At 45.8% G+C, this 23003-nt stretch overlaps 1 protein-coding gene across 12 annotated transcripts in view; it reads left to right on the forward strand.

Annotated features, from left to right (window-relative positions):
• Positions 1–23003, forward strand: part of STRIP2 (striatin interacting protein 2) — a 53968-nt gene that overhangs the window by 7640 nt on the left and 23325 nt on the right. For 4 of the 12 annotated variants that reach the window (NM_020704.3, XM_006716069.4, NM_001134336.2 and 1 more), the window contains exons 3-16: positions 1953–2027; positions 9542–9676; positions 11156–11276; positions 12071–12139; positions 12350–12456; positions 13173–13300; positions 14368–14571; positions 16144–16379; positions 16641–16706; positions 17446–17509; positions 18230–18301; positions 20895–20969; positions 21973–22070; positions 22541–22667. In NM_020704.3, the coding sequence (NP_065755.1) occupies positions 1953–2027; positions 9542–9676; positions 11156–11276; positions 12071–12139; positions 12350–12456; positions 13173–13300; positions 14368–14571; positions 16144–16379; positions 16641–16706; positions 17446–17509; positions 18230–18301; positions 20895–20969; positions 21973–22070; positions 22541–22667 (1577 nt within the window). Of the gene's footprint in view, positions 1–1952; positions 2028–9541; positions 9677–10048; positions 10146–11155; positions 11277–12070; positions 12140–12349; positions 12457–13172; positions 13301–14367; positions 14572–14628; positions 14942–15751; positions 16380–16640; positions 16707–17445; positions 17510–18229; positions 18427–20516; positions 20660–20894; positions 20970–21972; positions 22071–22540; positions 22668–23003 lie in introns of those variants that run through there. The other 8 variants (XM_047420656.1, XR_927493.2, XR_001744840.2 and 5 more) reach the window with 8 other exon arrangements.

Raw genomic sequence — 23003 nt, forward strand, 5'->3', positions numbered from 1 at the left:
AAAATTAGCTGGGCATCGTGGCATGCACCTGTAGTCCCAGCTACTGGGGAGGCTGAGACAGGAGAATTGCCTGAACCTGGGAGGCAGAGGTTGCAGTGAGCCAAGATCACGCCACTGCACTCCAGCCTGGGTGACAAAGTGAGACTCCATCTCAAATAATAATAATAATAATAAATGCTAAAGATAAAATTGGGACAAAGGATCAGTAACAAAGGAATTTATACAATAGGATACTGCTTGGATAAAAAAGTTTTTAAACAGAGCAATATCATATGTTTACAGGCATATGTGCATATAGCAAAAGTAGAAAAATAGGCTTGTGAAGGATACACACCAATTTCATTATAGCAGTTGCCTCTGGAGAAGGGAATAAGATAGACTGGGGAGCAGTCTGAAGCAAATATAACAAATGCTAACATTTGTTTGACCTGGGTAGAAGATAATACACAGGTGTCTTAAATGTACTATTCTGTTCTTACCTGTATATAAAAATTCATAATCTAAAATTTAAAAATAAAAAGACCAAGACTAAAGTTCAGTACCTAAGAGCCTTGCCCACTTTTCTGATTTGGTTTTTGGTGCTTTAATCTTAAAAATATATATATTCACCTCTCCACTAATGACTGAAGAATTTAAGATTCAGTGATGGGATTTGCTTCTGGTCACTCCTAGATTCTGGAACTTAAGACTCAAAAGCCCTGACTCCCAGACAAGGTGTTTCTCAACCATTAGACAGCTGGCTGGAACATAAGTGAATTTCTCTTGCTTTGTGAATTACCTGTGACCTGGTTAAATTTCCAGGAAGGGTCTCAGGTAGGGAGCAGAGATTTAAAGGAAATCTGTTCTATCATCTGTTGACTTCTGTATTTCAGTTCTTCATCTTCTGTAAGATGAGGGTACATATACAATGTTCTGGAGAGAGATAGAGAGAGTAGGAAAGGGCATTTTTATTTCTTTTCTTCTTTCTTTCTTTTTTTTTTTTTTAAGAGACAGAGTCTTATTCTGTTACCCCAGGCTGGAGTGCAGTGACATGATCATAGCTCACTAAAGCCTCAAACTCCTAAGCTCAAACGATCCTCCACCTCAGCCTCCTAAGTAGCTAGGACTACAGTCATGTGCCACTACACCTGGCTAATGTTTAAATTTTTTGTAGAGATAGGGTCATGCTATGTTGCCCAGGCTAGACTCAAACTCCTGGCCTCAAGCAATTCTCCTGCCTCAGCCTCTCAAAGTGCTGGGATTACAATCCTATAGGTCTGAGCCATCACACGTGGCTGGCATTTTTATTTCTCATAAGCTTTTTGCATTTTGTATTGAGAGGCTGCTGTTAGCAAAGTTAGATTTTCCTGGGCACAGCAGCCCTTTGACAACCATAGCTGTTCTCTAGAGTTTTTTTTGCAGCCTCTGCTTTGTGGCTGTGGGCAGGAATCTAAACTTCTATACCCTTTGAGGAAACTTAGCAGGGAGAGAATGAACTGGTTCCAACCCTGAAGAACCATCTAGCACTTACTTTTCAGCCCTTGCCATGGTTTCCTGATCCAGCACAAGGATCTTTCCTCTAAGTTTCAGGAGTTGTGTTGCCCTCCTCTTCTCTTAGAGATGGGATAGTTCCTGGTTGGGTTGACAAAGCAGGAGTTGCAGCCCTGAGAAACAGGAGTGATGAGATTAAGCTCTCTGTGCTGCAGTCCTCCTCTTGGCCCTCACCAAATGTTGAAGGCTGCCTTCTCTGCTGCAGCAGCCAGCTGGCAGGAAGAGGACAGGTTTGATGGTTTAATCTCCCAGGGACACAAGTGGCTATTTTTAACGTTGCTCTGAAAAGGAGGAAGCTAGCTTTGGATTCATTGGACACAGGAATGTGTTGGAAGCTTCAGCTCTTTCATGCCACCCTCTCTACTTTGGGCCTCTTCTTTAAGGATCTCCCGAATGTGACTGTTCTGTCTTTCCTGCCACAGAATTGTATAGTTACACTGAGAACCTGGAATTCACCAATAACAGGAGGTGCTTTGAAGAAGATTTCAAGACTCAAGGTAATTCCAGATCTTTACTCATAGAGACCTGCTTTTTCCTTTTATGATATACCAGCCTGATCTAGTAAAAGACTAAAACAAAGTGCGATCCTTCATCCCCTCTGTATTAGTTAGGGTTCTCTTAGAGGGATAGAACTAATATGATAAATAGATAGATATATATAAAGGGGAGTTTATTAAGTATTAACTTACACAATCACAAGGTCCCATAATAGGCTGTCTGCAAGCTGAGGAGCAAGGAGAGCCAGTCTGAGTCCCAAAACTGAAGAACTTGGAGTCCGATATTCGAGGGCAGGAACTATCCAGCACAGGAGAAAGATGTAGGCTGAAAGGCTAGGCCCATCTCTCCTTTTCATGTTTTTCTGCCTGTTTTATATTTGCTGGCAGCTAATTAGATTGTGCCCACCAGATTAAGGGTGGATCTGCCTTCCCCAGCCGGCTGACTCAAATGTTAATCTCTTCTGGCAACATCCTCACAGATATACCCAGGATCAATACTTTGTATCCTTCAATCCAATCAAGTTGACTCACAGTATTAACCATCGCAAGTCCACCCCTTGTCAGCTCGAACTCATACACATCTCCTGAGATCATACATAATCTTCAATTAAAGACAATAATAAGGGCATAGTTATGCCTAACATAATTGTACAAAGGATAACATAAATATCCTTTGTACAACTGGAAACTCACCAATCCCCAACCCAAATACTATTATATAAAGTTAACAATACTTAAATGCTGATATGAAGTCAATAAATCTTATGTCACATGATAAAGGAGAAAGAAAATAAAATGAAGATATTAATACAAGTGTATACACGCACAAACATGTTTTTAACAAAAGAAGAAGGAAATACTCATGACCAGCTGGTCACGTGGTCGTAGCTGGTATTGATGACTACCTTCTTCTACTACCCATTCTGTATTCCCTTTGCATTCAGCAAGCAGCTTGGCAGGTCGTGGTTTTTTTCCTGGTGGAGTAATCCAAACCTTCATTCCTGAGGGGTCTGGGTCATTTGTAGTCCTGCCTGGATTGGGGTGTTGTAGTTTCCCATCGACCTTAATCACAGGGCATAGTAATACTAAGAGACGCCCTAATGGATCTCCTGTATTCCATGCATACTCTTCCTTACCTCCGTTGTGGAGTAGTAGACTGATTTCATCTTGATAGTCTGGGTCAGTCACCCCAGCCAACACTGTAACTCCCTTCTTAGCCTGTTGACTTAAAGGTAGGAGGACCCCAAAGTGTCCAGGTGGCAATCTTAACTTCCAGTTTAATGGAATCATTGTTGTGTCTCCTGGTGGCAGTTTCCTCCCTCTGGAGCTAAAACCTCTAGGCCAGCAGAACGTAATGTCACGGGAACAGGAAGCAAAAATTTTGCTACTAGATCACTAGGGGTGATGGTGAGTGGTGCCACTTCCACCCCTTGATTCCTGGACCGGTGAATCCTGACTATGGGAAAAACAGTACCATATGTTGGATGCTGATTCAGAGCATACACGGCCTTCTGGAGAACTTTGCCCCAGCCCTGCAAAGTATTGTCACCTAGTTGGCATTGTAATTGTGACTTCAAAAGGCCATTTCACCGTTCTATCAATCCAGCTGCTTCAGGATGATGGGGAACATGGTAAGACCATGAGCATGAGCCCACTGCCACACTTCTTTAGCCATGAAATGAGTGCCTTGGTCAGAGGCAATGCTTTGTGGAATACCATGACGGTGGATGAGGCATTCCATGAGTCCATGGATGGTAGTCTTGGCAGAAGCATTGCTTGCAGGATAGGCAAACCCTTATCTGGAGTAAGTGTCTATTCTAGTGAGGACAAACCTCTGCCCTTTCCATGACAGAAGAGGTCCAATACAATCAACCTGCCACCAGGTAGCTGGCTGATCACCCTGAGGAATGGTGCCTTATCCAGGGCTCAGTGTTGGTCTCTGCTGCTAGCAAATTGGGCACTCAGCAGTGGCCGTAGCCAGGTCAACCTTGGTGAGTGGAAGTCCATGTTACTGAGCCCATGCGTAACTTCCGTCCCTGCCACAGTGGCCACTTTGCTCATGGGCCCATTGGACAATGACAGAGGTGCTGGGGAAAGAGGCTGATTGGTGTCCACAGAACGGGTCATCCTATCCACTTGATTATTAAACTCCTTCTCTGCTTTGGTCACCCACTGGTGAACACTCACATGGAGTACAAATATCTTCATAGTTTTTGACCACTCAGAGAGGTCCATCCACATACTTCTTTCCCCAATTTTTTTGTCACCAATTTTCCAATCATGCTTCTTCCAAGTCCCTGACCATCCAGCCAAATCATTGGCTATAGCCCATGAATCAGTATTTAATCGCACATCTTACCATTTATCCTTCCATGCAAAGTACACAGCCAGGTGCACTGCTCAAAGTTCTGCCCACTGGGAAGATTTCCCTTCACTGCTGTCCTTCAGGGATGTCCTAGAAAGGGGCTGTAGTGCTGCAGCCATCCACTTTCAGGTGGTGCCTGCATATCGTGCAGAACCATCTGTAAACCAGGCCCTGGTCTTCTCTTCCTCTGTCAACTTATAGGGAGCTCCCCATGAGGCCATCAGTGCAGGCTGGGGGAAAGAAGCCAGGGTGGCAGGACTGGAGACCATGGGCATTTGAGCCACTTCCTCATGTAACTTACTTGTGCCTTCAGGACCTGCTTGAGCCCGATCACGTATATACCACTTCCATTTGATGATGGAATGCTGCTGTGCACGACCCACTTTATGGCTTGATGGGTCAGAAAGCACTCAGTTCATGATAGGCAGTTGAGGTCGCATGGTGACTTGATGACCCATAGTCAAACGTTCAGTTTCCACCAAAGACCAGTAACAGGCCAAGAGCTGTCTCTCAAAAGTAAAGTAGTTATCTGCAGAAGATGGCAGGGCCTTGCTCCAAAATCCTAAAGGCCTCCACTGTGATTCATCTCTGGGAGCCTGCCAAAGGCACCAAACAGCATCCCCATCTGCCGCTGACACCTCAAGCACCATTGGATCTGCTGGGTCATATGGCCCAAGTGGCAGAGCAGCTTGCACAACAGCCTGGGCCTGTTGCAGAGCCTTCTCTTGTTCTGGACCCCACTAAAAACTGGGTGGGGTCCAGATAAATGGGCAGGAATAACACACCCAAATGAGGAATGTGTTGCCTCCAAAATCCAAATAGACCCACTAGGCATTGTGCTTCTTGGTTGTAGGAGGGGCCAAATGAAGCAACTTATCCTTCACCTAAGAAGGAATATCTCAACAGGTCCCACAGCACTGGATCCTTGGAATTTTACTGAGGTAGAAGTTCCCTGAATTTTAATCAGATTTATTTCCCGTCCTCTGGCACACAAATGTCTCACCAATAAGTCCACTGCATTTGCTACTTCTTGCTCACTGGATCCAATCAGCATAATGTCATCAATGTAATGGACCAATGTGATATCTTGTGGAAGCAAAAAGCGATCAAGGTCTCTCCGAATAAGATTATGACTCAAAGCCAGAGAATAGATATACCTCTGGGGTAGGACAGTAAAGGTATATTGCTGTCCCAGCCAGCTGCAGGCAAATTGCTTCTGGCGGGCCTTATGGACAGGAATGGAGAAAAAGGCACTTGCCAAGTCAATGACCACGTACCAGGTACCAGAAGATGTGTTAATTTGCTCGAGCAATGAAACCACATCTAGTACAGCAGCTGCAATTGGAGTCACCACTTGGTTAAGCTTACGATAATCCACTGACATTCTCCAAGATTCATCTGTCTTCTGCACAGGTCAAATGCGAGAGTTGAACAGGGTTGTGGTGGGAATCACCACTCCTTTGTCTTTCAAGTCCTTGATGATGGCACTGATCTCCACAATCCCTCCAGGGATGTGATATTGTTTTTGACTTACTATTTTTCTAGGTAGAGGCAGCTCTAATGGCTTCCATTTGTCCTTTCCCACCATAGTAACGCTCACCCTACCAGTCAGGGAGCCACTGTGGGGGTTCTGCCAGCTACTAAGTATGTCTATGCCAATTATGCATTCTGGCACTGGGGAAGTGACCACAGGATGAGTCTGGGGGCCCACTGTAAGTCAGGCCTGAGCTAAAACTTCATTAGTTACCTGACCTCCATAAGCCCCTACTTTAACTGGAGGACCACAATGACATTTTGGGTGCCCTGGAATCAATATCAGCTCAGAGCCAGTGTCCAGTAGTCCCCGAAATGTCTGATCATTTCCCTTTCCCCAGTGCACAGTTACCCTAGTAAAAGGCCAGAGGTCTTCTTGGGGAAGGATGGGAGAAAAATTCACTGCATAAATTGTTGGTAATGTAGTGGGGTCCTTCCTCAAGGGAACCCGGCCTCCCCTTCATTCAGGGGGTTCCAGGTCTATTAACTGGCTCAAGTCTGGAAATTGAGAGGCCATGATTCTCTGTTTTTATAATTCAAATTAGTCTTTCGTCCATTCGACCTACAAGTTTTCTGCTTGTATAAAGTAGGAATATAGTAGGCTTCCTATCAGTTTCACTTCTAGAAACACTGTGATTAATTAGCCAATGCCACAGCTCTACATGAGTCAGACTATTCTGATTGCTCCTTTGCCTCTGCCATCCATTATGGTAGCTATGCTCACCTTGCCTTTGATGGTCGAGTGCTTCCACTTGGCCCCTGCCACCTCGGGATCCAATTATTCCCATTGTATTTAAATTTTGTAGTTGAGTGACTGTGGTTCCCACCATTAGCTCTGGCATAAGGAGAAAAGCAATTACAGGACTCTTCAAAGATGCAGTTGCTGCCTTCATAAATCTATTTTATAATGCATTGGTCAAGGGTGTATCTGCTGGACCCTCCCAGCTGGGATGAGTAGATCTAAAGTGACTAATCCACTCCACCATCCCAATCTCCCTAAGCCTTTGGATCCCTTCCTCTACATTAAACCAAGGGAGAGCAGGCATTTCCAGCTCACTCAGAGTGGGCCATCTTTTAATCCATAATTCAGCTGACCAAATAAACTATTAGAACCTTTTTTAACTCCCCAAGCTGCAACATTGAACGCAGAGCCCCTACTTAGTGGGCCTAAATCAATAAATTGAGCCTGATCCAACTCTGTGTTCCTTCCTCCATCATCCCATACCCTTAATATCCATTCCCATGCCTGTTCTCCAGATTGCTGTTTATATAAATTAGAGGACTCAAATAGTTCTTTTTGAGTGTAGCACACCTCCTCATGGGTCACACTCTCAACCTCACCTCTAGGGGCCTGCCAGGACTTTCGTCTAGTTATAGGTCTAGAACCAAACAAAGGTGTTGAGGGTAGCTTCTGAGGAGAAGCAATATTATCTTGCCTGGCAACTGTTTCAGGGCAACTGCCATCACTGTTGCTTCAGGCAGTGCAGGGTTTATCTCCTCAGACAAAGGTGGAAAGGCTGATGGCAGCATGGGTCAGGGAGGAGATATTGCCACTACTGGGGATGGGGAAACTGTTCCTCCTGGCAAAAAAGGTTCATCAGAGTTTACAAACTCAGTGTGCCCAGCTTCACCAGGGTCCTCCCACATGTCCCCATTCCAAGTTTCAGGGTCCCATTCTTTTCCAATAAATGCCCTCACTTTAACAGTAGACACCTGACAAGGCTGTAAATGCATCTTTCATTGCAGTTCAGCCATTCACATGACAAAAGCTTGTGTCTGTTTTTCCACAATTTCAGCTCTTTCTCTGCAGGAGATAAGACTCTCACTCAGGGCAATCTTAGCAGATTTGAGGCTCAGTATCTGCTTCTGAAGCTGGGAGACAGAATCCCTGAGTTCATCATTTTCTTTCATCACTTTGTCCACTGAACTTCGGAGCAACCAACCAGCTTCCTTATGTTCCTTGGTTCTCCACATATGGTCAAAGGTATTATGTATAGTCACTAAACTCCTTGCCTCTCATGAGTGGTGAATCAGGAATGTCAAATGCATTTATTTTGCATAACTCTCTAAACAGTTTCCACCAAGGACTATCAGTGTTCTCTATACTATTAGAAGTAGATTTCTTAGCATTTTTGGATCTAATCATATTAAGCAGCCAACTCCAGAAATCTCAAAACCACTGAAAGAACTCCATCCTTAATATTCTGTTCCTCTAGAACCACTCCTGGTACCCAAATCTGTATTAGTCAGGGTTCTCTTAGAGGGATAGAACTAATAGGAAATATATATATATTAACCTTCACACCCTCCATAACCATGTAGCCTTTCCTTCTTGCTTAGGGGATACAGGGTTCTCTGTATCTCAAGTGGAGAGCAATGGAGTAGAAGCATGAGAAGCTGGTGCTGTGCTGCCTGATAGAACCCTTGACCTTAATGTTTCATCCCATCTTCAACTTTGCCCTACTCTCAATAGTAATTTCATGTGCCCACACTGTGACATTCTCAGACATTCTCATCCATTTCCTTACTTGGTCAGTGGCAATTCAATTTTCAGTTCAACAAATGTGTGGTGAGTATCTATTCTGTGTCAGATACTGGAGGCAGGAGTGAGAAGCAGCTTTTACAAAGAAGTTAGAGTTTGAGAGCAGGGGAATCATGTGCACATCACAAAACTAGCTGAGGCTCAAACAATCCTCCTGCCCCAGCCTCCCAAGTAGCTAGGATTACAGGCATGTGCCACTATGCCCAGCTTCTGCCCAAGGGCCTTCTCTGCAGCCTATACAGGGCAGCCAGGAATTGTAGGGAATCAGTGTGTTCCTCTAGTTTAGCACCCCTCATCCAAGAGAAAAATGCTGTGTCAGAAAAGTTTTAAAAGTGTTATGGAAGCAGAGTATTTGGCCACAGCATTAGTGAGAAAGGTCCTTTTTTTTTTTTTTTTTTTTTTTTTTTTTTTTTTTTGAGACGGAGTCTCGCTCTGTCGCCCAGGCTGGAGTGCAGTGGCGGGATCTCGGCTCACTGCAAGCTCCGCCTCCCGGGTTCACGCCATTCTCCTGCCTCAGCCTCCCAAGTAGCTGGGACTACAGGCGCCCGCCACTACGCCCGGCTAATTTTTTGTATTTTTAGTAGAGACGGGGTTTCACCGTTTTTTTAGCCGGGATGGTCTCAATCTCCTGACCTCGTGATCCGCCCGCCTCGGCCTCCCAAAGTGCTGGGATTACAGGCGTGAGCCACCGCACCCGGCCGAGAAAGGTCCTTTTATATTGGGCATGTAAGACTGGGAAAGAGGTCATTTTGTATTGTGCCTGTAAGGATGACTAGGAATTGAATATGTAGGGAGACAGAGGGAACTCCTTGAGGAAAGGCAGAAAGACAGGACAGTATGGGCTGTGTGTGGAGGACAGAGGGGATGTTGAAGGTGAGGCTATAGACTGGGTTCAGGCCAGAACATTTTGGGTCCTTTTCCCATACCTTATTCTTTCTCAGTGAAATAAGGAAAGCTTTTGGAGAAAATAATTTTGGCAGGGGAGCTGAGATCAGAGGTGGATATGCTATGAGGAGCCTTTCCAGGAAGGGTGGCAATAGCTGACACTGGATGTATATGGCCTTTTATTCCCAGTGCAGGGCAAGGAATGGCTGGAGTTGGAAGAAGATGCCCAAAAGGCCTATATAATGGGACTCTTGGACCGGCTAGAGGTGGTCAGTAGGGAACGGCGGCTGAAGGTGGCCCGGGCTGTTCTCTACCTGGCCCAAGGTGAGTGACCACCCTTGCTAGCTTTAGAGGGGTGGAGGCTTGAGAGGGAAGTGGGCATTATCAGGACTGAGATGACGCAGGCTGTGCTGGGAAAGCAAGGTTTCTTGCCTCTCAAGGACAGATCTTGTCATGTGCTAGGAGTAACCTGTGCTTATGAGGAAGATGAGATAGTGTTGAGTGCTGTTCTAGATCCCTCGGGATCTGCCTTTATCTTACCAGGTATGTCAGAATTTTTTATAGGGTTCTTCTTTTCCCTACCCTGTACTATAATCATATGTGAATACTAGCAAGAGGTGTGGCCAGAGCTGATATGTACCACCAGCTGATCATGGAGACAAGACATCAACTGTGGCCTGGCCCCAAAACTGAGGAGAAATAGGAGAGTGTCACAGATACACATGGACCCCTTGCATTGTTTCTCATTGGCATTTTGAAAGTTCAAGCCAACATAACTGCGGGAGTGGATGCTGTGAGTAATTTGGAGATGATCAGAACTAAATAGAGTAATTGGGGAAAGCTGCTCAGAAGAAACCTGTTAGCCAGGTGTTGGAAAGGGAAATGAGATAGCCTAGCTGGAGTGAAAATAAGCCTACGATCATAAATATAAGGCGTGTTAACAGAACCAACCAGTTGGGAGCTAAAAAAAAAATTGTAAAATAAAAAAATAATAAATGAAGAGGGGAAAGGGTGGACATTAGGTGAAGAGAAGACTAGCAAATAGGACTGTGCCCTCCTGTATCTCTTGGGTCTGGTGCTCTGGCCAACTTCCAACTGCCAGTACCTTCATATGTTTGCCCAAGGACTTTATTTATCTAAGTTTTTTAAAAGAAAGTCTCACTGTGTTTCCCTGGCTGGTCTTGAACTCATAGGCTCGAGCTATCCTCCTGCTCCAGCCTCCTAAGTAGCTAGGATTATAGGCATGTGCCACCATGCTCAGCTTCTGCTCAAGGGCCTTCTCTGCAGCCCATACAGGGCATCCAGGAAGTGTAGGGAATCAGTGTGCTCCTTTAGTTTAGCACCCTCATCCAATGACTAACAGGAGTTAGTGGATGGATAGCCTGACTGTCTCACCCCTCTTGGATAGAATAACTGTGAGTTGTGTGTTTTATACTGTTTCCAAATTATCCCCTGAGTGAACTCTTTGGGCTTCCTTTTCTTCCCTATCTCTACTGATGATTCCTGGGAATGATTCCCAAATAAGCTACTTGCACTGGAATCCTTACTTACCTCAGGATCTGCTTCTGGGAGAACTCACCCTTAAGACGATAGGCCATTGATGAGCACATTGGACCTAACCCTGGAGACTACCTCTCCTCTCCCCTGACTCATTCCAGGAAGTTCTTGGGGCCCCTGTCATACCTATGTCAGCCTAATTATTAGGCAGAGTATTATAGGAAAATCTTAAGATCATGGGGCAGGGTGGAAAGAACTGGGATACTGCCACCCCTCAACCCCTGTAACAACTGTCTGGTCCTTTAGGTACTTTTGGGGAATGTGATTCAGAGGTCGATGTGCTACACTGGTCCAGGTACAACTGCTTCCTGCTGTATCAGATGGGGACCTTCTCCACCTTCCTGGAGCTACTCCACATGGAAATTGAGTGAGAAGCCTTAGGGGAAGGGCTGGCCTACATAACCCCCATTCCTTAAAGGGGCCTCATGTTCTATGCTGCTTCCCTCACTATAGAGACCCCCTGTGAGGAACTGGGTCTACTCACACCTCAGCCCAAAGCTCATTGACAGTTCCCCTCCATCCAGCCATGTTCTCTGATATTCTGTTCTCCCTCCCTGAGGTTGGATACATCTGCAGCTTCTGCCTCACTTACAGCTTTAATCCTGGGCTTCAGGGGCCTATCCTGAGTGGGTTCTCTTTTTATTCAAGGACTTTCTTAGCTCAGCCTAACTCTGGAATTCAAGAGGGAAACTATTTTGAATGCATGACCCAAGAAAGACAGGAAATCAATTCCTGTCATTGTGCCCAATTCTTTCCCTCATGGGCTATAGTTCTAGAGGTGGCCTTATTTGCTGCTACCACTACAGTGACCCCTTGTTTTGTCTCATGCCCATCACCCAGGAGTTTGAGATAGGGTGCAATCTGCTTATTATTCATCAGGTGTTTCTTAGCATCTGTTTTATGTCCAGCACAGTTCTAAGCATAGTGGGGAATGCAAGAGGAGTGGATACCACAGATCCTGCCCTTGCCTTGTCTTCACCATAGATGAGAGTTTGCTGAGGTGGCAGGGGAATTCTGTCAGCTCCTTTACTCTAGACCAGTTTCATTAGTGGCTGCCTAGCCAGGGAATGGCAAGCACTCATATTTGTGTGAGTGATAAGTAAGAGCACAGAGAGAAAAGAAGTCTTATGCATTCCTGTTCTTTTTCTCCTCCCCTGGCAGCAACAGCCAGGCCTGTAGCAGTGCCCTTCGGAAACCAGCTGTCTCCATAGCTGATAGCACAGAGCTCAGGTGAGTGGGGCTAACTATGGGCTTGGAACAGGGCAGATGATTAGCACCTGGGTTACCTTTTCCCCAAATCCCAGATGACTCAGACCATTAGGAAGTTGCCCTGTAGCTAATCTCACTGGGTTGGGCTTCCCACAGAGACCATCTCTGAGGTCTGTGACTATGGGCTGGGAATTGCCTTGGGAACCTCTTGTGACTCTTCTGTAACCCCAGGGTGCTGCTGAGTGTTATGTACCTAATGGTGGAAAATATTCGCCTGGAGCGAGAGACAGACCCCTGTGGGTGGAGAACAGCCCGGGAGACCTTCCGCACTGAATTAAGTAAGAAATGGCACTTGAGGAAGGTGTGGATGGGGTGCTAATGGGAGAGGGGAAGCAGAGCATCTGCCTAGGAGAGGCAGACAGTCGTTTTTTCTTTTGTTTTCTTTTTTAAAATTAATGTCCTTTCTTTTAGGACACAGATACTGCATGGCAGGCACAAGGGCTGGGCTTGATTGCCGCCCTGTATCTATGAGCTAAGACCAGCCATGTAACTTCTCTATGCCTTGGTTTCCTTGGTTATAAGTGGGGATAGCCATTCCTCTCCCACTCTATCACGAGTCCCACATGAAAAAATGAGTTGAATCACCTTGAAAACTGAGTTCTGTTCAAATGTAAGTTGGTGTTGTCATCTGACAGGGATAGGATATGAAGGACTATGGGATTTTAAAAATATATTTATTGATGTGGAAAAGTGAATGACATTGAGTCCTTTAGCCAGAAAGCAATGTCTTCATTATTGTTACTTCTAGTTTGGCATCCAACCCCAAAGCGTCACCCTAAGCTCTGGGGCCTATGCCATTTTAATTCCATGGCGTCCCTTCCTGCCCTTGAGGGGCTTCCTTCTGGGGGCTAAGCCTCCTTCTCAGGACCAAGTACTCTGGTATTCTTCAGGGGAGGTGAGTGCCTTCCTGTGTGTGTCCAGAATCAGGGTTACATGAAAAAGGTTTTAGCTGCCTCATCCTCACTTTCTCACTCCCCTCTCTCCTCACCCCTAGGCTTCTCCATGCATAATGAGGAGCCTTTTGCCCTTTTACTCTTCTCCATGGTTACCAAGTTCTGCAGTGGCCTGGCTCCTCACTTCCCCATAAAGAAGGTCCTGCTCCTGCTCTGGAAGGTGGTCATGGTGAGTAATTCTCCCCACTCCCACATTATCAGATCAGCAATGCCCTATGCCACCTCAGTTTCTTCTAGTCTCATTCCAGGAGGCTGGATCCAGGGAGCAGAACAGGCAGCCCTTAGCCAACTGCTAATATGGAGGGGCAACAAGGCTGTCCTAGAGACATCAGATGTTCTATGTTAGAATGGGTTTCATGTTTCTATTGGATGGATGGGAGATGCCACTCCATAAATTGGGGATGTCAGTGGTACCTTCTCTTATTAAAGCCAATGTTTGATGGAGAGAACACTGGTTGAAAGTTGGTAGATCTGGGCTTTGCTGATACTGAGAAACTTTGGGCAACTCTCTGTGCCTCAATTTCTCTAGCTGTAAAAGGTTGGGGTGAGTGCCTGCCCTCCCTCCAGATAAACAGAGGTTTTGTATTTTTTTTTTAATAAAAATAATTTTTTCTTACAGACAGGCCTCCCTGTGTTGCCTGGGCTGGTCTTGAACTCCTGGTCTCAAGCAATCCTTTCACCTTGGCTTCCCAAAATGTTGGGATTACAGGCATGAGCCATTGTGCCTGGCCAGGATTTGCTTTTTAAAAAATAATGAAGTTCTTATAAATATGTGGTTACATTTCTGTTACTAGTTATTCAACCTGATCCTTCATTTTTGGCTCCCATCTCACAAGGCAGGCCTAATAGGGGGAACTGCCTCTTGACTGCAGAGGAAATTGAGTGACTCTGGGGGTTTATAGCACCTGGATGGTGTTCCTTAAAAAAGTCGATAGTTTCTTTTTTTTCTTTTTTTTTTTTTTTGAGGAGGCCCGCAGGAATTCCTTTCCTAAATTCTGTGATATTTCCCATACTGGGGCAGTAAATAATGCCTTATCCTGACCCCTGAGCTCCTCAGTTGCCGTGGGGATGGTAATCATATTTGCCTCTTTATGTTTTACTACCTCCTTATTAAGGAAAAGGTCTGAAGGGACTGGAGGTTGTGGCCCTTTCTTTTCATCCATGTTTCCCTGACCTTGGCTCTCTCTTACTTCCCTTCCTTCCTCTCTCTCTGCCCCTTTCCTGTTTCTTCCTTAGTTTACCCTCGGTGGATTTGAGCATCTGCAGACTCTCAAAGTACAGAAGCGGGCAGAATTGGGCCTGCCTCCACTGGCTGAAGACAGTATCCAGGTGGTGAAGAGCATGCGTGCTGCCTCCCCGCCCTCTTACACTCTTGACCTGGGAGAGTCTCAGCTGGCACCCCCACCCTCCAAGCTGCGAGGCCGCCGTGGCTCTCGAAGGGTATGGACTGAAGCAGACAATGGTATTGGGACACCGACTGGCCAAAAATCAAGATTCTAAGTTACTCTGGGTGTGGTAGGAAAAAGCAGTAAATGACCCGGCTCATCCTGCCCAGGTTGGCCCTATGACCAACCTGAAATCTTAGGGTCTCTAGTTTGGCCTCTGTCCCCCAGCCCTGACAGCCCCCTGCGCTGTTGTGATGTGACACTGTGATATCATGTCATATATAGCCATGTCTTGCTACAGAATCATTGGCCTGGACCTCAGTGCCTGGAGTTCCTTACATTCTGAATAACAATTAAGGGTATAATCCTGGGGATAGGGACCCAGGATACCGGAACAGGTCTCCAAGCAAATCCATTTTTCTGGGGTAAGGCATTTTACTATTTTGAAGCACCAGGAAGTTTTACTGTCAGCCAGCCACACTCTTAACTGGCCCTGGAACCAAAGGCTTACATTTAAGAGATGACTGGGTAGGGGTCTATGTATATAACCATGTGACACTAAACGACAGGGATACAATCTGAAAAATGTGTCATTATGCAATTTTGTCACTGAGCAAACATCATAGAGTGTACTTACACAAACCCAGATGGTATAGCCTACTGCACACCTAGGCATATAGCCTATTGTTCCTAGACTACAAACCTGTACAGCAGGTTACTATACCGAACACCATATGCAATTGTAACCCAATGGTGTTTGTGTATCTCAACCTAGAAAAGGCCAATAAAAATACAGTATTATAATCTTATGGGTCCACAATTACATATGCAGTCCATTGTTGACTGAAGCATCGTTGTGCAGCACATGACTATAGTCTGCTGTCCTGAAAAGGTCAGAATGAAAAGTTATACTGAGATCTGACTATGTTCTTACAAACTCCCCTGCCTGACCCACTTCAGTTTATCAACAGGGCTAGATAGTAGTGCTCAGTAATCCAGTCTCCATTATCTGCAATAAAATTTTTTAACTTTATTTTTGTTTTATAAAGTAATGCTTACTCATTGTAGAAAATTTGGAACAAATATAAAAATGTGATGAAGGGAGAAAAGAAAAATCACCCACAATCTTAACAACCAGAGACAGTCACTGTTAACTTTTTGGCCTATTTCTGTCCAATCTTTTTTTCTTTGTCACAAGATTTAAAATTCCAAACTTGCTTCCCTCTGCCTAGCAGCAAGCTTCTGTCCTCCTCTTCCTCAGTCAGCCAGCTGGTGTATGCTCACAGAAGGCAAACTAATTGAATGTTCACCTAAGCAGAGCATAATTAGGAAGGAAAGTGCTGGCAAAAAAAGGCATCACTGCTTTCTGAAAGCTAAGTAATTGTGACTTTGGGATTATCTATGCTATGTTCCCTGGCTAATGGCAGGGTTACCTGAGAACTTCTTGTCCTGTTATTGGGCCGGGTGGGGACAGTAGGTTAAGGTGGGGAATTGGATGTTTTCGCAAGGGCTGTGTTCAGATTCCATGTTCCCTGAAATGTGGAGGCCTGTGGATATGGGGTGGCCTCAGACAAGGATGCCCAGAGTGAGATCTCTGCATGCCTACCCTCCCTTCTTTCCCCTCCAGCAACTCCTCACTAAGCAGGACAGCCTGGACATCTACAATGAAAGGGATCTCTTCAAGACTGAGGAGCCCGCCACAGAGGAGGAAGAGGAGTCTGCTGGTGATGGAGAACGAACCTTGGATGGAGAGCTAGACCTGCTAGAGCAGGACCCTCTGGTGCCACCTCCACCCTCACAGGCACCCCTCTCTGCTGAGCGGGTGGCTTTTCCCAAGGGCCTGCCCTGGGCCCCAAAGGTCAGGTAGGTTTGATAGCATCAGGGACCCCTATGCTTCGGGGTTTCAGTCTCCAAAGGCCCAAGATGGGGTAGTCTATGTATTCAAGGCTCGTTAAGTTGGTCTGGCAGTCAGAACTCCTGGGTTTGAAATTCCTTCTGTTGATTGCTGCCTTTTTCCACTGCTCCAGTCCTCTGATTGGAGGGATAGGAGCCCGGAAAGTTTTTCTCTCTCAAAGTTTGCTTTTCTTCCCTTCTCTGGGATTGGTCTTTCCACCATCCTCTCAGACAGAAGGACATTGAGCACTTCTTGGAGATGAGCAGGAACAAGTTCATCGGATTCACCCTGGGGCAGTAAGTGACTGAATGGCTGGAACTGGCTACAGAGTGGTTCCTAGGGGGCCAGAGGAGCAGGTAGCTTGGAATGAGGGATGGTGCCTGGTGGTCATAATGTAACCTAGAGCCCCTAGGCCATGGACAACTCCCAGTGACTACTTTGGGTTCTTTCTATGGATTTCTTTTTTCCTTGAGTTTCTTCCACTTTTCCTCAAAGAACTTTTGTGTTTTTAGCCAACTGTAGGACTTTGAGCAACAAGTCATTTCTCTTTCGGGCTTAATTTTTTCCTGAGGTTGTTGGGTTAGATGGTTTCTGTGGGCCCTTCCTGCTCTAATGGGCTAAAATTCTGTGAACAAGAGACATGGTCAGAACGGATCCAGTCTTCCCCCATTCCCCAGCCTCATGAATCCTTCCCACTGGCCTCTTGAAAATTGAGTCCTTATTAGTGGAGTTTCATAGTCAAGGTGTCATTGGGCTATATACCCTTTTAAGTAGGAACCTACCACTCCTACACCAAGTGAGTACCCAAAAGACTATAAAAATCTCCTGATTTCCAGAAACATTTCTGTGTACCATTATTATTTTTGTGTCCTGAAGCACTGATGTGGGACCTACGAGCTTGCAGAGGAAGGTCTAGGGTACTGGGGGTAGATGTTGTTGAAAGTAGCATGGTCTGTTGACTCTAGGGGGGTATTGGGGTATCAGTAGTTCTCGTACTTTGGAAGCTTATGATCTGGTATGTCTGGCCTTTTACAGGGACACAGATACATTGGTTGGATTACCCAGGCCCATCCATGAGAGTGTGAAGACCCTAAAGCAGGTGACTGGGGTGGGCTCTCAGTCTTCAGGGATAGGGAGCCATCAAAGCAGGTCAGATTACCAGGCTCCTGGATACTGGGTGGGGCTTTTATACCAGACTCTTTCTGGACCTTCTGCATTCCTCCTGCAGTCCTTTGGCCAAATAGGAAAAATTAGGTCTCTCTTTACTTACTCAGTTTCCTATATTCAGGTAGATTTTAAAATTCTCCTTTCTTCCTCTCATTTCTTTTTCCTCTTCCCATTCTTCTCTCTCTCTTCCCATTCCTTGCTTCTTTTTCTTTCACTTCTCTCTGTCCATAAGTCTACTAACTTCCAAAGGCCCAGGATTGAGTAGGAGCCTGCTCTATATCCATTGTATGCATGGAGTCATCACTCCATGCATACGTGCACACGCATCAAAATTCTCAGGGCAGTGGTCCAGGGGCAGGGGCCTGTTTCTGACTTCCCCTTGCACTTTATTTGAAGATAAATGCTTAGGTATTTGCTGCTCTTCAGCAAATGTAGAAACAGAATTTTAAAAAAACACTGTGCACAAAGCACTTTGACTGGTGCTGATGATGCAGAGGTGATTAAGACTCCTTCCTTGAAAGAGTTCATGTCTATGTGGGGTAACAAACCCATAAGCAGAACATTTCCTTGCTTTTGGGGAATTTAAGTAAGAGACTGGTACACATGTGAATGAGGCCCTCAGCCCTTGTTGATGTCTTCTTATCTTTGTCAGCACAAGTATATCTCCATCGCAGATGTGCAGATCAAGAATGAAGAGGAGCTGGAGAAGTGCCCTATGTCTTTGGTGAGCCAAGGAAGCCCTACACAGGAGGAGAGTAGAAGAAAACCTGTCTTCAGTGTTGTCACAGAGCATGTGTGCATGCATTCATTCAGCATATTAGGCTGTAACTGTGTTCCAGGCAAGACAAGGTCCCTACTTTCATGATATATTGAAGTTGGGGAAGAAAGATAAAAAATAAAAAGTTAAGTAAACCAAACTATCAGAGAATGGTAAATACAATGAAGAAAATTTAAACAGGATGACATGAAAGAAGCATCAGTAGACTACTTAAGATTGGGCAGTTGGAGTAGGTAGACCTCTGAGAAGGTGACATTTAAGCCAAGATCTGAGGGACAGGGATCCAGCCATAGGAGCATCAGAGGAAAGAGCATTCCAAACAGAGAGAACAGCCTTAGCAAGGGGAAAGCAGGCTTAAGAGTGTCAGAGGTAGTGAAGGAAGGCTGTTGTGGCTAGAGCACAGGGCCGAGGGCTGGGATCCTAGAGATGGAGTCAGAGAGGTGGCCTGAGGCCACTTTGCCGAGGACCTGTAAGCAAAGGTAGAGAGCTTGAAGTTGACTCGCAGTCAAAGGGAAGGCAGCCTTTGGAGATTTGAAGCAGGGGAGTGATATGATCTGATTTATGTTTCTAAAAACATTAGCTTCTGTGTAAAGATTGGACCAGAAAAGCATAGACGCACTCTACGGAGATTAGTTAGAAAACCCTTGAAATAGTCAAGGTGAGAGATGATGCCGACCTGGATTTGGAGATGTAGCTGACAAGACTTGCAGTGCATTTGGATGTGGATAGAGAGGCAAAGAAAGGAATCAAGAATAAGTACCATTTGCCAGGATGTGGGGGGAATATCAAGAGTTCTGTTTTGGTCATACTAAGTTTTAGATGCCCATTAGATACCCATGTGGAGCTGCAGGCAATTGGAAATAAAGTCTAGAATTCTACAGAGAGGGCTGACTTTGAGAAATAAATTCGGGAGTTGTTTGTAACACTTATAGGCAGTGTTAAAGGCCGTAGAACTGGCTGAGATAACCCAGGGAGGGAGTAGAGACAAAGAAGAGAATGGAAGGCAGGACAAAGCCCTGGGGCACACCAGTATGTTGAGGGGGGGATGTGTCAGGAAAGGAGCCAGAAGAATATGAAAGACAGTGAAGTGGCTGGAAATCCAGGAGATTATGATATCATCATAAAAGCTAAGAAAGTCTTTCAAGAAAAAAGGAGTGATCTGCTGGGTAAAATGCTACTAATAAGTGGCATTATGGTAAGAACCAAGGTGCCCATTGGATTTGGCAACATGAAGATAGTGACCTTGATAAGAACAACTCTAAGTGAAGTAGTGGGACTGAAAGCCTAATTGGAGTGTATTGAAGGGAATGTCAAAAAAGGAGGTAGATGATATAAAAGTTTTGTGAAGAGGAGAGAAAGTGGATGGTAGCTGAAGGAAAATGTGAGGTCAAGGGGAGGATGTTTTATAGCTGAGAGATACTAGAGCATTTTTTGTTTCCTAAAATAAGTGATCCAAGAGAGGGGATAATTGCAGGACTGAGGCATTCAACAAAGCAAATGGGTGTGGGATCCTGAGCACAAGTAGGAGACTGGCCTTTGTTAGAAGCACAGGCGGTTCATCCTTCATGTCAAGAAGGAAGGAAGAAGACTCTTGGTAGATTTGGTGTTGAGAAGATGAGTGTGTGCCTGTCTGATTGCTTCTGTTTTCTCCATGAAGCGTGAGGCAGGGTCAGCAACTGTTTAGGGATGGTGGGCAAAGGAGTTGGTTTGAGGAGAGAGAAGATGGTATGAAATCAGCCTTTTGGAGAGCAGGAAGGCAAACATGCCAGGATTGCCAGGCTCTGTTGAATGTCCATTTAGGACTTACGTCCATTTAAGCAGCAGATTAGTTGTGTGGGACAGAGGGAGGCGGGTTATTCTTCCCTGCCTCAGGGTCTCATGGCAGTGGCCCCTTGCCCTGTAATAGAGGGACCTTGTAGGAGGAAGGGAACTGCATTGGTCAAAGATGACAGTGGCCTGAGCAGCTTATTGGGTCCCTGAGACCCCAGCCTCCCCACTCTGATAAAAGGCTTAGTTAATGTCATCAACAGGACAGAGATAGTTGTATATGAGGGAGCTGGTCAGAAAGGAGAAAGTGATGTAGGGGCTAATGGAGAGGGGAAGAAAATCATTTCCATCCACTTAAAAGCTTCTTTGCTAATATTCCTTCCTGTTTCTCCAGTCCATAGGTTACCCAACTTCCTTTTAAACCCACACTATTGAGCCACCTACCTCTCCTTCCAGGCTTACAGAACGTTCTAGAGTTTTCAGCCTCAGATCCACACCATAGGAAGTGCTTCTGTAGCATCTGTTCCAGTATCCCAGGTACTGAAAGGTCATCCAGGCCAACCTGATGGTCCTATTAAAGAGAAAACTAGGACTCAGAAAAGGAATGTGACTTAACCAAGGTCACACAGTGAGTCATTAACACAGCTAGGGTAGAAACCTAGATCTGACTCCCAGCTTAGTGCTCTTTTCAGGTCACCCCTCACAACCAAGAAAAAAAAGCCTTTGGTCACCTGGAAAGTGGCATTGCCAAACCATGTATTTCTTGCCATAGGGGGAAGAGGTGGTACCAGAGACGCCATGTGAAATCCTCTACCAGGGAATGCTGTACAGCCTTCCGCAGTATATGGTAAGGAGATGGCTAGGCCAGAGCTGCCCTTCTCTGCTGCAAGGAACAGACAGCTAAAAACCATTTCAAGTGGACCTGTCCAACACTTGAGCTTGTTTCCTGAGCCTTTGCCCCTTTGGCAAGGCATTCTCTGACACATGCAAATTCTGAGCTTTCCTCAGTGCTCCTCTGATGGTGCTGTTCTCCCTAGTCCTTCTTTGGGAAGGGTGGGGAATAAGTTGGGGTCTCTACAGGATACACTGGGGACCCTCCTCCGAGATAAGTACTGTAGTCCCTCTGAGATCTGCTGTGGTCTGTCATGTCCTAGATAGCCTCAGGCTGGGAGTGGGGAAGATGCCAATGGTTCAGGTTAGAGGAAAGAAAAGAGTGGGAGAAGTTGGGTTTATGCCGCCCACCTTATTTCTACACACTGTCCCTCCCACTCTGTTCCTTCCATCTTCCCCTTTGAAAAGAACAGTCTTTTTTTTTTTTTTGAAGTGGAGTCTCACTCTGTCGCCCAGGCTGGAGTGCAGTGGCACGATCTTGGCCCACTGCAACCTCCACCTCCCAGGTTCAAGTGATTCTCCTGCCTCAGCCTCCCGAATAGCTGGGATTACAGGCACATGCCACCACGCCAGCTAGTTTTTGTATTTTTAGTAGAGATGGAGTTTTACCATGTTGGCCAGGCTGATCTTGAACTTCCAACCTCAAGTGATCTGCCTGTCTCGGCCTCCAAAAGTGCTGGGATTACAGACATCAGCCACCATGCCAGGCCCTGGAAAGAACAGTCTTGAAGCATAACAGCCAATGCACTCCCTCTGGCTTTCTCCCTAGCCTCACAGGCAGGCCTGTCAGGACTGGGCACCTGTTTGCTTTTCTGGATGCTGGGGAGATATGGTCATTGAGGGAAGAACTTACAGAATGGCTTTAAAACACTTTTTATAGGGCGGTTAGGGTGTGGAAGAATCACTTCCTTGCTGAGTGGGTTTGACAGTGGTAAATTTCTTTATTTTCTACTTCTCAGATCGCTCTGCTTAAGATTCTGCTGGCTGCAGCTCCCACCTCTAAGGCTAAGACAGACTCTATCAATATCCTGGCAGATGTCCTACCTGAGGAGATGCCGTGAGTGCTTCAACGGGGGCAGCTGCTGGATACTAGCTGTCTTATCTGCAGGCTCTCTCTAGTCCCCACTCACCTTGTTAACACTTACAGAGATTGTCTCCAAAGAGATCTCCCCGTCTCTGCCCACCAGTACCCCCTTTCCCGTACAGGGCTTTCTGCTTGGCTCTTTTTAGCTCAGAACTCTGGATCTGGAGGGTGACACCAGTGCCAGCGACTGGCTGCCCAGGTATTTGGGTGAACATTGCCAAGGGATGAGCTTGCCAAAAGAGAGACGGAAACAAAGAGATCAGTGGAGCATTTCTTCAGATAGGCTCATAAGTGGGAACTCTGGAGGTTTCCCTGGCACAGAAGTTCAAGTTTCCCAAGTTCTGGCTCTCTTGTGTATATTGTATCAGACCCAAATACCTGGATCCCTACAGGGCTCCCTTTAAGGCCACTCTCTGCACTAATACCTTCTCTCCCCATTGTAGCATCACTGTTCTCCAGAGCATGAAGCTGGGCATCGATGTGAACAGGCACAAGGAGATTATTGTAAAGAGTATCTCTACCCTGCTTCTGCTACTCCTCAAACACTTCAAACTCAACCATATCTACCAGGTGAGCAGCTAGGAGCACTTCTCCACAGGTCTTGGGTGTTTGCCAGGCCCTATCTCTCAAAGGAAGGATGCAAAGTCCCTTTTAATCCTGATGAGCATCTTTCAGCCTTTTCTTTGTCCTCTCTCAGGGAATCCAGCCACCCATTGCATGAGCTTGAGGTAGGGTTATGGAGTGGGAACTGTCCTAGAAAGGTGCAGATGTCTGTGTCCCTTGTAAGTTATCCCAGAGTTGTGGGTAGGAATCTCTAGCTTCTCAGGAATATGCCCAGCCAGTTTTTAAACAATGCAAGAGAGAATGTAAGCATTTCACAAAAATGGGGGGGTGGGGGGAGTATGT

The sequence above is a fragment of the Homo sapiens genome, chromosome 7 (genome assembly GCF_000001405.40).
Source record: "Homo sapiens chromosome 7, GRCh38.p14 Primary Assembly".
Lineage (NCBI taxonomy): Eukaryota > Metazoa > Chordata > Mammalia > Primates > Hominidae > Homo > Homo sapiens.